This window comes from Homo sapiens, chromosome 1, assembly GCF_000001405.40.
Source record: "Homo sapiens chromosome 1, GRCh38.p14 Primary Assembly".
In the NCBI taxonomy this organism is placed as follows: Eukaryota; Metazoa; Chordata; class Mammalia; order Primates; family Hominidae; genus Homo; species Homo sapiens.
The window spans coordinates 74,636,983-74,652,455 of record NC_000001.11 but is presented as its reverse complement, the minus strand read 5'-3'; the positions used below and the strand labels follow the sequence as shown (position 1 = coordinate 74,652,455).

Sequence of the window (15,473 nt, the reverse complement as noted above, 5' to 3'; positions counted from 1 at the left end):
CAGTGAGCTCTTGTAACTGGGTAAATGTGAAAATGGGCTACAAGCGCATATCAAGTACAGGTGAAAAGGACCAGAACAGAGAGGATCAGCCAGACCACAGTGTAGCTGACACTGGCCCACGCAGCATTTGACCATCTCCCTGGAAAGGAGTCTTGATGGTCAGAAAGATGGTCACATGTATATGCATGCAGTGGAAATGCTTGAATTGACCATTTTACCAAATCTGTATATAATTTACTTTAGAGCAATTTCTTGATATCAAACAATTTAGTAATGTAAAGTTTCAGTTAAAAAAATTCCAGCATTGTCTAAAAATGAAATAACTGAGCCGGTTATTATTCAGCTGTCCTACCAAGCTAGTCATATGGTGATAGTTGTGGAAGGAGTTGCTTACAAGTGGTATCCCAAGCAAGAACCCACATTTATTCCTAAATAGGAAAAGATGATGTGTAAAAAGGTTTCAACCCAACTGGACCTGCTTGACGATTTGTAAGCCTGGACAGGCATCGTGCACACATTTGTTAGTAGAAGCCCGAGAGAGCAGAATTAAAATCAGGTGCTACCAAAGCTGGCTAAGCAATTGTTATTAGGATCTAAATATTAAAGAAGTTACAGAGCCTGAATTAAGGAAGGGGATAATTTATCAGTCAATAGGGAAGTTGAGGTTTATGTGATCCCAACTTTTTGACCCCCACTTCATTTAATCGGGTTTTAGCACTCCCAGCTATTCCAAAATTATTGATTTTTTTAAGAAAAAACTTGAGCCTGAAAAACAGACAAAAGACTATATATGATATCACTCTAATGATTTATCTTAAGAATCTGTGAACTGTGGAATCATGATTGTTAGGACTGAGAGACACCTGCTCACCTTTCTGAAATGAGGAGCTGAAAAGATATTCTGAGATTTAGAAAGGGTAAGGTATACAATGTTGACCTTTTGGAGACAGGAAACCTTTGATGAACTATAGGACACCAAGGCAGTTCATTTAAAAGATGGTTTCAAAGCATTATCCGGAGCTGGTTTTCTATGTGCCTTACTGAAGCTCTTGGGTTGTCTTTTTACATAAACCTAGGGAAATAATGGCTTTTGCAGTTGTTCATATGTCTGCAACCCTCATGTGGCACCTTGGTTTCTAAGCTTTGTAACTGCTTTTCAGTCTCTTTTGAGGATGAAATTAAACTTTTCTTACTGTTTGGCAGCATGGAACTTTCCTGCGATGGGCTGTTAAGGAGAAAAGAGGCATGAAGGAGTCACTTATATCATCTCCATGTAATTAAGGAGTACAAACTGTTAAATAAAATTGTTGCTAATGATATTTACTTGACTCTATAATATGAGTCCCTGCTCTGATCTTTGAATAAATTAAGGATTAGTGGTTCATAAAATGTATAGATTATAAAACTTTGTTGCCAGTAATAGAGTATGCATTTTTTTAAAGACAGCTTTGCGTTTGGACTATCTTTAAGCTTTCTTGTTCTCTTTCTTTCTCTGCCTCTCCCTGACTCTGCCTCTGTCTATCTCTGTCTGTCTTCCTCTTTGTCTTTCTCTCTCTCTCTCTCTCTTTCTATGTGTATATAAGTATACACACACACACACACACACACACACACACACACAGTAGTCCCCTCTTATCCGTGATTTCACTTCCGGTGGTTTCAATTACCTGTGGTCAGCCACAGTCCAAAAATATTAAATGGAAAAATTCCAGAAATAAACAACGTATAAGTTTTAAATTGCATGCTGTTCTGAGTAGTGTTGTCAGATCCTATGCTGTCCTGCTCTGTCCTGCACAGGATGTGAATCATCCCTTTTTCCTGGGTATCCATGCAGTATATGCCACCCACCCTTCAGTCACTTACCAGCCGTATTGGATATCAGATTGAAAAAACCTAGTATACATAGGATTTGGTACTATCCACGGTTTCAGGCATCCACTGGGGGTCTTGGAATGTGGATAAGGGAGGACTACTGTATATACTAACATCTATGTATATGTCTATGTATGAATGTATATGTGCATGCACCATGTATACATACATATGTGCGTGCATGTTTTTGTAAGTTACTGAATAATTAATGAAGGATAGATTGAAACAGAAAATAGTGCTCAACTTTGACATACAGACTTAGATTGACAATTTACTAAGGTATAGCATATAATCAACAAACCAATTTATCCTCTTTTAACTCTTAAAATAAAAGACACTAAAAATCAAAAGTGATCTATGAATTATTGTTTTGGTGCTGGATGTGAAATTAATGCAAATGTCTAGATATATATAAGGAGGTTAACACTTCAAAATACTGAGCTTAAATTTAGTTAGGAACTTATAACAATAAAAATAAGTCCCAAACAAAATCATATCTTTATTTCCTGAGCACATTATTATTTCGATACATGACAAATATCATCAGTAGGGATACCAAGAATAATGATCTATCCTGGCCTGGCCTTCAAATCTAGCAGAGGACACCAAGAAATAAACAATTACATATTATGTGATGAGATAGTAACTCAGGGTCTTATGGGGTAGGAGGTGGGGAGCGGGAGTGGAAGGCAACACAGCACGCCAGGACATATCAGAGAATGTTTCCTAAGAGAAGAGAGGCTTATACACCACAGATATTATCTGCTGGCTGGCAGGTGAAGGAAGGGCCTTCACAGTTGGGAGACTACGTTGTATTCTGAAGATGAGAGACAGCAGGTAAGTTTGAGTTACCAGAGTTTAGGGTATGACATGAGACGCTGGAAGAATCTGCTGAAGGAGCCCTTGCTTTCCCATCAGGCCTCCAATGTGAAGCCCTTTTTGACAAATGGAGCTGGTGGCCTCCTTCTCTGTGCTGCCATGACTTTTTGCATATTTCTATTGTTGTACTTTCCCCATCCACTTTACTTGTTGATGTGTGATTTCCATACTTGTCTGTGGAATAATTAAAATCAGGACGATTTTCTAGATCTTATCATAAGGCTTAGAAAAGAATAGGGACTCAATACATGTTTATTAAACACATATATGAATGACTGGCAGGCTGCATGAGTGAATGATTATGCACTATTTGGGGAAACAGTAAAGAATTGCCTTGGTTATCAAACAACCCCTTGTAAAAGCTTATTGGTTTTATTTTTGTATTTTAGGTTACTTGCTGCATATAATAGCCTTATGGATAAACACCTGGCTGGGTATTTTAACAATACAAGGATAAGGCGTCATCTCTTAAGATCAGGACTGGTAAGTTTTGGTTTACTTTCCACTGACCTTCTTGTTTCATTAAGTCCAATAATTCCCTACCTTTTCAGGCTTTCTCTTTGAGTGACATCTTCCACTTGCCCTCATTTTAGAAAAATTACTTTCTTTCCAAAGTTTTGATTTATGTATTTGAGGTTGTTTGAAAAGATAGGAAGGCAGGTCACTATGACTGCTAAGAAAACTTATAAATTATTGAGGAAAAGGTCCTGAGACTTTCCAACAGCATATTTCAATGGTTTGTTTATTCATTCATTCAACACATATTTATTGAACACATTGTATGAGGTAGAAACTGTTAGGAATTGAAGATAGAGAAGATTTTACTGTCATCTTCGGAAAAAATATTGCTTTTGATATTCACAGAATATGGTGTGGAAGACATGTACATTTCAACATTTCCCCCAAATTTAAAAACAATTACTTCCTGTGATGGTTTATTGATAATATTAGTGTATTTCATTAGCTTCACAACTGTTCTTTCCACAAAATTTCTATTCTTCTAAATGTATACAATGTGAAACCTTTTCAAAATGTTATAGTATTCCATGGAAAGAAAGAGATGTGGTTATAGAAAGTGTTAGCTGTTTACCTTCTTAAAACACAATGGGTTTCCTTAACTATTGTTGCCATGGTGTTGAAAGAGCACGTATTGCATTTCTAATTGTTGTTTCTGTGCTTGGCACTCTAGCTGACAGATCTCAGAGAGCTTGCTTTTCTCCTCCTGAGGATTCGTTATCAGACAGACCTGGCTGAAACCGAGCTTGCCATTTATAAGCCATAGAATCTTGAATAAATCACTTTCTTAACTTTTTCAGCCCCAACTTCCTCAATTGTAAAATGAGAATGATGGCATGCACCTCTCAGAATTGTCGTGGCAGTTAGAGATGTGCAATAAACGGGTGTTGTAATTATTGTTACTATTAACATCACTTCTTTGGATAACAGTCTGTGAACTTTGCCTACAAATGGGAAGGACTTTGTATTTACTTATCAGCATCATTAACAAGCACTTACTGAACACTGGTTGTATGCATGGCAATTCAAATAAGAAAGATGCAGGCCTTTCTCTAGAGGTTCAAATATAGCCTCTCAGCTAGCAGTGTTCAGGGTCACCCAGAAACCCTACAGAAAATGCGAATGTGAGACCTAACTGAATCAGAAGCTCTGCTAAGGGACCTATCAGTTTTTCAACAAGCCCTGCAGGTGGTTCTGATGCATGGTCAAGTTTAAGCACCTTTGCCCTATAGGAGCTTCCACTCTAGTTGGGGAGATCAGACATAGTCACACAAAGACTGTAAGTGGGTTATTTGTAATTCCAAGCACACTTTCTATAGGTATACCTCTTTCTTCCATTGGAAAATGTATTTACAAAAAAAGATTATCAATAAGCCATCACTTGTAGCACAACTCTGGTTGATCTTAATACTCCAGTGTGTTGCAACAGTAGTGTTAAAAACTACAGTTAGCAGAATTAAGAAAAATATGTGGCTTGCATGAAAGAGGGGAGCAAAGCTTAAATAAGTGGAAAAGAAGAAGGTGAACAATCCGTATGGGTAACACTCTTCGTTTACAGGGGATAGAAAACAATACAACAAATCAACAAATATGCCCACAGGAAGAATTAAAGAAAAGAAAAATAAGTAAATCCACAACAAAAATGGCCGTTCCTAGGACTTGCAATGATGCCAGTTGAGACCAATATTGACTATCTTCTATGTATGCTAATGCATAATCTGTAAAATTCTGAATCAAAACAACAAATTAAATTACATTTTGGGCTGGAGAGTGGAAGAAAAAAAAAGCAGTAGGAAAACAAAGTAATGAAACCAAGTATTTTTAAAGCAAACTGATGAGATCCTTTGTAGCTCGCATGTTTGCCCTTCAAAGTACTTCCTACAAGATCATCAGTCCTGTGATCACTGCTCCTGGTCATTTTTTCAAAGTAGTACCCCGCCCCCTTCCTTCAGGAAAGTGTTCAAAAAAGAAATGAAAAGAACACCTGGGTTCCATCAAGGGAAAATTGTTACTGTGATGAAAATCTTGTTTTAAACGTCAAGTGTGCCACCTGTGTGTGTTTTCACAATGAAGGGTATATGAGACTGCCTTTCTCCTTTTTGCCTCATGAAATATTCATTAAAAGTGAAAGTTGATCAACCATAGTGATATATTCCTTTAGGCTTAAAAGCTACTGATGCTTTCTCTCCCTCTTTCTCCCCTCTCGTTTTTTTTTTTTTTCTCTCTCTCCCTCCCTGCCTCCCCAATGCCTCTCTCTCTCTCTTTCTCTCTCTGTGTGTGTGTGTGTGTGTGTGTGTGTCTGTCTGTCTTCTCCACCCTCCAGCCTCCCTTTTTTGGAAACTAACACCACATTTTCTATTTTATATTTCTATGTATATTTTATTTATTCATGACAGATCACAAGAAGTGGAAGAATACTTTCTGAAAAAGAATATAAACTAAATATGATGAAGCGGGATCATCAAAAATATATCCGGGAATGCTTAGCCCAGGCAATTTTTCATAAAGTTCTTGATATGGAGGTAAAAATATATACTTATTTTTTATTTTATTTTATTTTTTTCTACTTCCACATCACTGAAGATGGAGGTATAAATCTTTACTATTTTCTTTGTAATTGATTTTGTCTAATATGATAATTAATAATGCTTTTGTACCTAGAAAAAGAGAGATTCTTTCTGCATTTCATTAAAAAAGAAAATGAAAGAAATACTCAATATCTCTCTGGGTAGCCAGGAGCCAGAAGTCTAGCGTAAGCTTTTCTTCATTTCAGTTGGAGAAAAATATGGACATCATTATATATTTTGTGATATTTAATTTTCCAAATGTACATTTTTCATTTACAATGGCTACTCTAAAACATACCAGCCCTCACCATCTGTACCTCAATTTCCATTTGCTAAAAAAGGTGACATCTGTTTAAATATCAGTAATTCCATTGCCATGAATTATTTCAGATCTGTTATTCTTTTAAGGCTCTGAAGCTCAGCCGTATGTTACATTTCAAGGAATAGGCATTTTAACATCTGCTGTCCCTCCTACCGTAGGCCACTCTGGTCAACATAGATGCACAAACCAAGCATCAACAACATATTTTTTTAATCTGACAGGGTATCTTAATGGGATATCTAGCTAATTTGATAAATTATTTCAGCCTTGCTCCATGGAACTTGTAGTTTCAAGCATCAACACCATTTTAGTCTCTGAAAAAGCATGTCACTTCTTGGCTTGACCATACAAGCAGTAAATCAGAAAACTGGGCTCATAAAACCATTGACCTGTGAGTGCAGTAAACATTTATGAACAACTGTAGAATCATCAGTAAACCAATATGAAGTCTAGTGCCACTGAAAATATTTATTATTATGCTACATTAGGTAGATGAAGTGTTCACTTAAGATGTGTATGATCTGTTAATTTAGGAATTCACTTTTTGCTTCATATCATGTCCATGAATTACATAGAATTGTTGTTTTTGGCCCTAAATTCTTGCTTATAAAAGTATTAGCTGTAATTTTTCTGTGAAAAAATAAATAAAATTAATAAAACATAAAATTAATACCTTGTTTCAAATTTACTCAATAGGCACTGAGTTCTCTGTTAGCCTTAATCCTTGAAGCCTAGTTTTCCAAAATCTCACTTAACACCCTGTGACACATCATAACTGTTGAATATGCTATTATTTAAATCTTTGTGGATTCCTAGTTTTGAATAAATATTTTAGATAAATGTTAATATGTAATATATTAAATAACATAATTGTTACATAATAGAATAAATAATATATAAACATAATAGAAAAAAACAATATTTATCTTTAAATTGTCACATTTATCTCACATTTAGTTTATGCTGATGCTCCTTGCTAATACTGCTGTATTCACATTCATGCATTCACTCATGCAACAAGCCATAATTGCAGGTTTACCATGTGCCAGTATGAGGCTGTGTGTTGAAGCTGCAAGGTAGGATTAAAAAAAAATACTGTAGAATGTGACTAAGTGCTAGAAGAGAGGAACGAATAGAGTGAGTTCAGAAAAGAAGAGGAGGATGACTTTTCTCTGTGGGAGTCAGAGGAAACTGAACGGAGGTCTTGCTGTTTCAAGACGAGTGAGGGATCCTGTGAAAATGTGGGAAAGGTGTTCCAGACCTCAGAAGTTGCAGAGGTGTGAAAGGACATAGTAGATGGAAAGGAACCCTCACTGAGGCCAGACTGCACAGTGGGTTAGTTGGCAAGAGTGGCAGGAAGTGACACTCTCCAACAAGTTGGTACCCAGTCTCTGGAGAGCCTTAAATTCTCAACTAAGTTTGGGGTGTAGGTGATGAGGCGATGAAATGTTTTTCAGCAGGGGAGTAAAAGAAATGAGCAGAGCTGTTTTAGAAAGATGATGTTGCTAAAAATGTGGAAGATGGATTAATGAGCTGGAAAAGATTGGAGGTGGGAGGTCAATTAGGAAGCTATTGCCAAAGGGTGTAGGCTAATAGCAGTAGTGGTAATGCTGGGAGACGCAGCTGTCTACAGAGAAGCTGAAGTGGGAGAAAGATTTAAGCTGACTGAATGTGAAGGAGTGAGGGAGAAGAAAGAGCTCAGAAGAAAGATTTTCTCACCTGGTTGGAGGTATGTGCACTGTAGGAGATCAAGAACAACAGCATGGGCTGAAAAGGAACCTTCAAGAGGTCAAAAACATGCCTGTTAGCATGGTGTCCTGGAAGCTGGAAGGTTCTCACAAGCTGCAGAATGGTCAAATAAGATGAGCACTGGGGGAACAAAAGGAAATTAGGTTTGACCCAGAAGACAAAAACATTGGTGGACTTGGCAAAAGTAGTTTCAGCAGTAGGGAAGTGGCAAGTCAGTAGATGTGGATGACTACAGTGAGTTGGGAATAAATGGAAGGTGGAAAAAGGTTGATAGTGAATTGAACAGTTTGATGATAAGTGGGTAGGAGATCAGAGGAAGAGAGAGAGGAAAGGGAAGTGTTAAGAAGAGGATTGATGATAGGGAATTATTGAGTCTGCAGGGTTCCTAAGGCAGCAGGAGGGAACCAAGAACAGAGGGGAAACATTTTTTCAAAGGGCCAATGAATAAAACACTCTCAAATATGTCTAATTAATTTCAATTTGCCTTTTAAGCAGATTATTTTTACATGGGGCTTATTTTTAAATTATAGAATAATATATTACAAAAACTTGGGGGGAAAAGCATAAAAAAGGAAAATAATTACATACAATTCCTCCTTTCAGAGACAACGGCTGTTAACATGCATTTCTTTCTAGTCTCTTTTCTATTCATATTTTTACCTTAGTAAACTCATACTATGTTGTGACAGGGACAACAAGGTTTTGTGAAAAAACAAGCGAAAAACAGGAAGCTAGTGTCAGATAGGCCAAGGTTGAAATTACAGCTCCTCCCCTGGCTGGGTATATGACCTGGCGCAAGTTCATTATCCTCTGCTTCAGTGCCTTTGTTTGTAAAATAGGGTGGCTTGGCAATTAGAGTTGTTCAAGAAGAAATAATGTATGTGAAGCACCTTCCTAGCACAGGGACAGATACACAATATGAGCTTGATAAATTAAATTGTATTTCTGTGAAATTCTGTATCCTGCTTTTATCCTGCATTATGTGCATTGTCCATTTTTTAAACAAAATCTGTATGAACCTTATTTAAATGATCAATTATATTTTATTCCATCATATGGATGTGCCAGAAATATAGCCATTCTCTTTATAGTTCATATTGTTTCTGCATTTTTTTTTGCCTTGAAGAAAAAGGAAAAAAAATCTTTCAGATAGCATCTTTGTGCATAAGACATTTTTTAAAATTACTTAGATTTCCCACAGGTTTAGAAGTGAAATTTAAGGGTTAAAGGTTATGAACACTTTTAACTGCTTAATATATGTTCAAAATTGAATTTCCAAATAGTTGCACCAATTTACATTCCCACTTGTGCACTGATGCAGATGATTCTTCTCCATCTCAATGACAAGAGGACTAATTGAGAATATAGTTATCTGTTGGAATTATTTTCCTCTAAACTGGTCTTTGCTATAACTGATATGATTCTCTCCTTTATTCTTTCCTGTATGCTTAGCGTTACCATCAGCTTGAAATAAAAAAGAAATTGGAGACCTTAGCTAGGAAGGAGCGAATCCAGAGGTTTAAGGTAAGGAGTTATATAACTCTCTTTTACTTCATAGTATTATTTTATGATTTTAAAAAAAACAGTGAAACTATGATTCCAGTTCCCTGGGACACTTTACTTTTGGTTAAAACATAGTTGAAGTCAATGATGGTTCACCAAGCCTAAATCTTAGCCATCATCATTACAGAAGATTGTGACAAATATAGGAGCTGTTTGTACAAAATAAATTTTAATGAGGCACAAACCTTTCAAAGACAAACTTGAAAATGTTCTTGAAATTTTGCTTTTATATATTCTTGTGATAGAGGCCAAGGGATTTTTGTTTGTGTCTTAAGAAGGTAAAAATGGATGGTAGTGTTTCCAACCTGATGGAAAACAGGGCTTTTTAGGAATGATACAATGACACATTTTCATTTGAATGTGACCCTTGGAAATATACGGTGGAAAGGATCCTCTTTAGCAAAAGAAAGCATGATAAAGTGTAGATTTTGTAAAATGCATTTTAAAATTCTTTGTTTGTTTTCTATTTTTTAAATATATCTTCTTTGCAGTGAACTCAGGAAATATAAACTTGAATCAAGAGATGAGATATTCAGTTAAATTCAAGATTTCCATTTAGGTTGGCAGTTTTACTCAGTTTCTTAAGTCATTTGTAATCACATGTTGTTCTTAATTTTCTGTGTACTGTAGTATTACAAATGTGTGGCCTAAGATACGTTTCACAAACTGATGAATATTTGTAAAGCTTCTGTAGAATAATTTGCCATAAAAGACAGTAATTTTTCACCCTTGCCTGATGGACTCAGGTCTATTTTATCAGGGTGAGAAGATAATTTTGTTACAAAAATGTTTTCAAATGACAGAAGATGGGTCCAAGATCAAAGAGTTGGTGTGTAGAGATTTGTGGTTAATCCAACTTTGCCAATATTGCCCTACATCAAGGACTGAGTCATAGATTCTGTAATTTATCTGCTGAAATGTTGATGGAGAAAATGTGGTTACTGGAAAAAAAGAGTCACTCACACTGCATGAAGCAGGAAAAGTTGCTGTGTGTTATTCACCCTTGCCCAGGTAGCCAGACCCACTAAAGGAAGTACATGGGCATATTGTAGCATTGTCAGAGATTTGCTACCCTTGTGCCTCTTCATATGATTTTTATTTGAACAATTTTCACTTTATTACTGAATTTGGCACAAGATATATTTTAGCTCTCATTTTTTTAAAACATGGAACACTTTTTGCCTAATGGAATTATTTATTTTCTAAGATAGAAAAGTACTATTTCTGGTAGTCTACTGATCGCAGTAGTAAAGCTCATTATGCCTTTTGTAGTGATCTGCTTGAAGCAAATTAACAAATATTATTGCTAAAATGGAGGATACACTGCTTTTGCAGTTATTTCTTTGAGCACAACTAAAGCCGACTCAATTTCTTGCCTTACCACCACACCTAACTCCTTAACAAAAGTAACTCTTGGAAGAAATGAGAAAGAATTTCTTTAGTCATATAGTATTTCGCACATGTCATGCATAATCTAACCTAGATTACTAACTATGCATCTATTTGCTAAATTGCTTTCTTATTCTAGGGAGAGCACACAAGAAGGTCTGTTGAAAATAACATGCCAATCCTGTCTCCCCACCCACCAGTTGGCCCAAAGAGTAATCGTGGCCATAGTGTTCTGGTTGATGAAGGACATTCCAGTCCGTTAGCACTGGTGAGTAATATTAAACACTTCGTCATGCAGTATCCCAGCTAATTAATTTATTATTTCTTATTCTCAGAAGGGATACTCTCTGGGAGCATGACTCCGTAATGCTGCCAGTCCTACTGAATGAAAATATAGTCTTATATCTGTTCAACTCTGTCTCTTCTGAATATCTCACTTCTAGTCAATATCACTACTGCCAAATCAATTTTGCTTGTTAATGCTAGATTAGTTTTCTGGAAGTCCAGATTACTTATGTTATTTATACACCCAAATACTTTCCCTGGCCTGTATTCCCTACAGAAAAGCTCAGACTCTCAGGTGACATTTAAGACCCTAAACCATATGACCTCAAATTAGCTATTCCAAATTTTTTCTGCATGATTACTCTTTAGCACCCTTCAATGTAGCAAAATGGGACCACTATACATATTCTATATTTTCTGACCTCTGGATTTTTTCTTGCTGTTCCTTCTACTTCCACCTTATCTCTACATATTCAATGGTACCATGTAGCATATTGGGCTAAATACTAACATTTGAGCTTCTTTTATTAAAAGTCTGTGCACATACTCTAAAATAAAAATAATTAAATGTACAGAAATTCTATCTGAAGAAACTAAACACTGATATTTTATTCCAGGTTGATTCATTTCTAATCTAAAAGTGGTGTTTGCTTGAGGGAAGGTAAAGTACCTTGAAATAATATAGATACAGGAAAAGATTTATAAAACATTTGCTGGAGGTTGATGGTTTAAGTTGTAAATAAATTGCTTGATTATGTCTTTATTCTTGCTTTATGTAGCCTAATATATTTCCTTGTTAACATGTACTTTTTCTGATTTGCAAAATATTTATGGAGAAATTGCAATGCTTTCACAGATTGTTGAAGTAGGTTCATCACATATAGTGTTAAGCTTTGACATTTTTCAAAGGGTAAATATGTTTTGACATTTCTTGATGAACAGCTCAAATGATGAAAAGCAACCATCTTTCCTTTGTTGTCACCCTATTTCCAGGTTTGATTTGAATATATATGTATACAAATTCTTTTATTGGATGGCAAATTCACTAGACTCTCAAAAGCTTAACCTGAGTGAAACAAAAGAAACAATCAAGTGCTGTTTTCAGTCTTCCCACCTGTTTCAGAGAGGAAAAATCCTTGAAAGGCTTTCTTTTCAATTTTCCAGCTGAACACCCTCAATAAATAGTTTATGATACATCCAGCAGATCTTAATGTGGTAGGAGTGAAAAAGTAATTTTAAAATTACAGGAAACACTGAAACCAGCTTCAAAAACCTTTCTCTCTGGTAAGCCAGGATTCTTCATGTGGCCCGCCCTGATGGTGCTTTTGCACCGTAAGGGATACCTATTGTGATCTTGGAATTAAATAGGTCCCATTTTACAGAAATCCAAATCCCCCTCCCTTTTTTTTCCATCTGGATACATATTCTTTAAATTTGACTCATGATCTCCAAGTGTCCCTGAGATGAAGATAATAATCCTTTTGAGATCTTGCCATTGATTTTTTTCTTTTTTAACTTTTTTAAGTGAATAAGGAAAGCATCCAATACAATGTTAGTGCCCTTGGTAACCTAAACTTTCAAAATAGTATACAGATTTTTAGCTGTACCACTCCCATTAAAACGATGGAAAATCATTTCAGCTAATTCTGCATATGCTTGGAACATTCACCCACACTGATCTTCTACTAAGAATTAGAAATGCTCAGCTAAGCTAAGTAATCACCAGGTAGTTAATTTCAATTCATATTCTGGTATGGTTTTCAGAATGTTAAGCTACAATGCCATATTTATTCCAAGAAAATATATTACACACAATTTAAAATATAGTGAATTTAAGGTGGCTTCTGATGTGAACTACAACAATTTGTAGCTCACAGCTGTTAGTTAATGGTGCAGATTTGCTTTTAGAGATAAATGTAATCAGTTAAACATTTGACTACCACATTCATCTAACTGAATGATATCTATATGCAAATGTAGGGAAGTAAAATTTAGAGCACAACAGCCAATAGATCATGTTCTAGTTTGCAGTAAACTGTTCTCTTAAATTTCGACAACAGATTTTTCAAGTTTTTGTGTTCAGTTGGATTATTTGACAGGAGAGATCCTTGAGGCATGTTTGTTTTACAAAGTTCAAAAGAATTCTTTTGGGTGATCTGATTCCTTTTTTCAGAAACCTCAGTTCTAATTTCTCTTTGTGGGTTATAAGACCTTTTACCTTTTGGACCATATAGGCTTATTTTTTGTTTCTTTAAACCAAATCCTGCTTTAGTCAATCCACTTGGCTTCTCATATTGGTTGTGACATAGGTTTGTGTATGAAAACTGTAAATATAATAACATTGGCATAAACAAAAGGGTCTCCTCCCCATCTCAGCATATCCATGAGTCTCAGCTGGCATGCTATCTTAACTCTGTGAAGTCATCAAAAGCCCAGACTCCCTTTGTGTTGCTGATCTGCCAAACTTAGGGTGTTGCATTTATCCATAAAAGCCAAGATGGTATATCGCCGTTTGGATATTTCACCAGAGGGAAGAGGTAAAGTGAGAGCACATATCTTCTCTCTAAGCACATGACCTGGAAGTCTCATGTGTCACTTCTGCTCTCATCTTATTGGCCAAAACTGAGACATACATCTACACAGAATTACAAGGGATGCTGGGAAATGTCATCTTTATTCATAATAACCATGTTCCCAGTGAAGAAAAGAAAACAGATATTGGGGAATATTATCTTTGCTACTCTTCCCATGTCTTGCTCACAACCAGCTTTCTTCCCAGTCGGATATTCAAATTTATCCTTCTTCTCTGCTTATCCACTTTCTTCTCTTGTTTACCATTGGGATAAAATCTAACTGCTTCTGTGGAACTTTAAGTTGTATTAGCCTCTTTGGCTTACCCTAAAGATTCTAAGAACTTTTACTTCTAAGTTCTGGTCTCAGGTATTTTATTGTCTGTTTGGCAGTATTTGTGTGGTTCATTTGACACTAGTTGTTTTGTGTTGCCATTAGATGTTAAAAATTACTTTTTATGTTCTCACGGTTTCTATGGTGGGAATTCAATAAATGTTGACTTAACAAAATCAGAGATTTAGCAACATATGACATGCTTCTCAAGCCTAACTTCTAAGGCTGGTTTTTGGTAGTAGGAGCTGCCTTATCATCATTTTTTAAAGTATTTACACACACTTTTCCAGAGCTGAATATTTGTTGTTCACCATTCTTTAAAGTGTATGTATTAAACCCTTTTCATTAGTCACTTATATACCATCCTTCTCATCCTCCTTCCTAAATATATATGTACAATTCTTGATAGACTTTCTACTATTTTATTGCATTAGAACAATTGGGTCAAAAGTCTGATGTATTCTACTTTTGACACATTGCTAATCTTTTTTTTTTTTCTGAGACAGCATCCCACTCTGTGGCCCAGGCTGAAGTGCAGTGGCACAGTCCCAGTTCACTGCAGACTCGACCTGCCTGGGCTCAGGTGACCTCCCACCTCAGACTCCTGAGTAGCTGGCACACATCATCATACCCAGCTAATTTTTGCATTTTTTGTAGAGACAAGGTTTCACCATGTTGCCCAGGTCGATCTCCAACTCCTGGGCTCAAGTGTTCTACCCACCATGGCCTCCCAAAGTGTTGGGATTATAGGTGTGAGCCGCTGCACTCAGCCACATTGCTAATCTTTATACTAAACTAACAATATTCTTTCAATGCCCCAAAAGCACTTCTAATGCACTATACAAGCACTTTTGGCATTTGCTGCAGTATAGTCTTGATTAGAAAATGAATCAGTCAGTGGCTCAGCAGGAGGTAGACAGATGGCTCAAACAGTGTAATTAGAAAGTGTTTAAAAAGCTATTTGCAAAGAAGTAGGCAGGGCTAAGGAAAACCAACTAGGGATGCTAAGCATGCTAGGGTCAGCATATCAGGAGCCACAGCACCCAGGCCTAATGGGGGAACAGAGGAATTGGACACCAGAACCAGCTGCTAGTACCTGTAGCTGGGAGAGGGCTTCCCAGTAGAAGCTGTGGACTTTGGTAGAGGGACCCAGCTGGCCCATTATGACCCTGCAGGGTGAGTCAAGGAGAAGAAAGACCCTAATTTCATCTCTTGCTAGTGCCTGTCACTAGTGGACTCCAGCTGCAGTCCTGAGGTTAGTGGGTGTAGTCCCGAAAGGAGTGACCCCCAGAGTCTAGGTCAGGCCAGAAAAGGTGAATGGTAGATCTAGAGGGACAAATGGAAAATATCTAGCATAGAAAACATATCCAATTTTATATACATTTTCCAAAGTTGCCAGTTACAATTTTTTTATTTTTGTTTTCCTA

The 15,473-nt window shown here is 36.5% G+C and overlaps 1 protein-coding gene across 2 annotated transcripts in view; it reads left to right on the top strand.

Annotated features, from left to right (window-relative positions):
• The window catches only part of ERICH3 (glutamate rich 3), a 106,221-nt gene that overhangs the window by 21,888 nt on the left and 68,860 nt on the right, over positions 1-15,473 (top strand). For both annotated transcript variants that reach the window (NM_001002912.5, XM_017000275.2), the window contains exons 2-5: positions 3,141-3,234; positions 5,664-5,789; positions 9,358-9,429; positions 10,997-11,125. In NM_001002912.5, the coding sequence (NP_001002912.4) occupies positions 3,141-3,234; positions 5,664-5,789; positions 9,358-9,429; positions 10,997-11,125 (421 nt within the window). The remainder of the gene's footprint in view (positions 1-3,140; positions 3,235-5,663; positions 5,790-9,357; positions 9,430-10,996; positions 11,126-15,473) is intronic.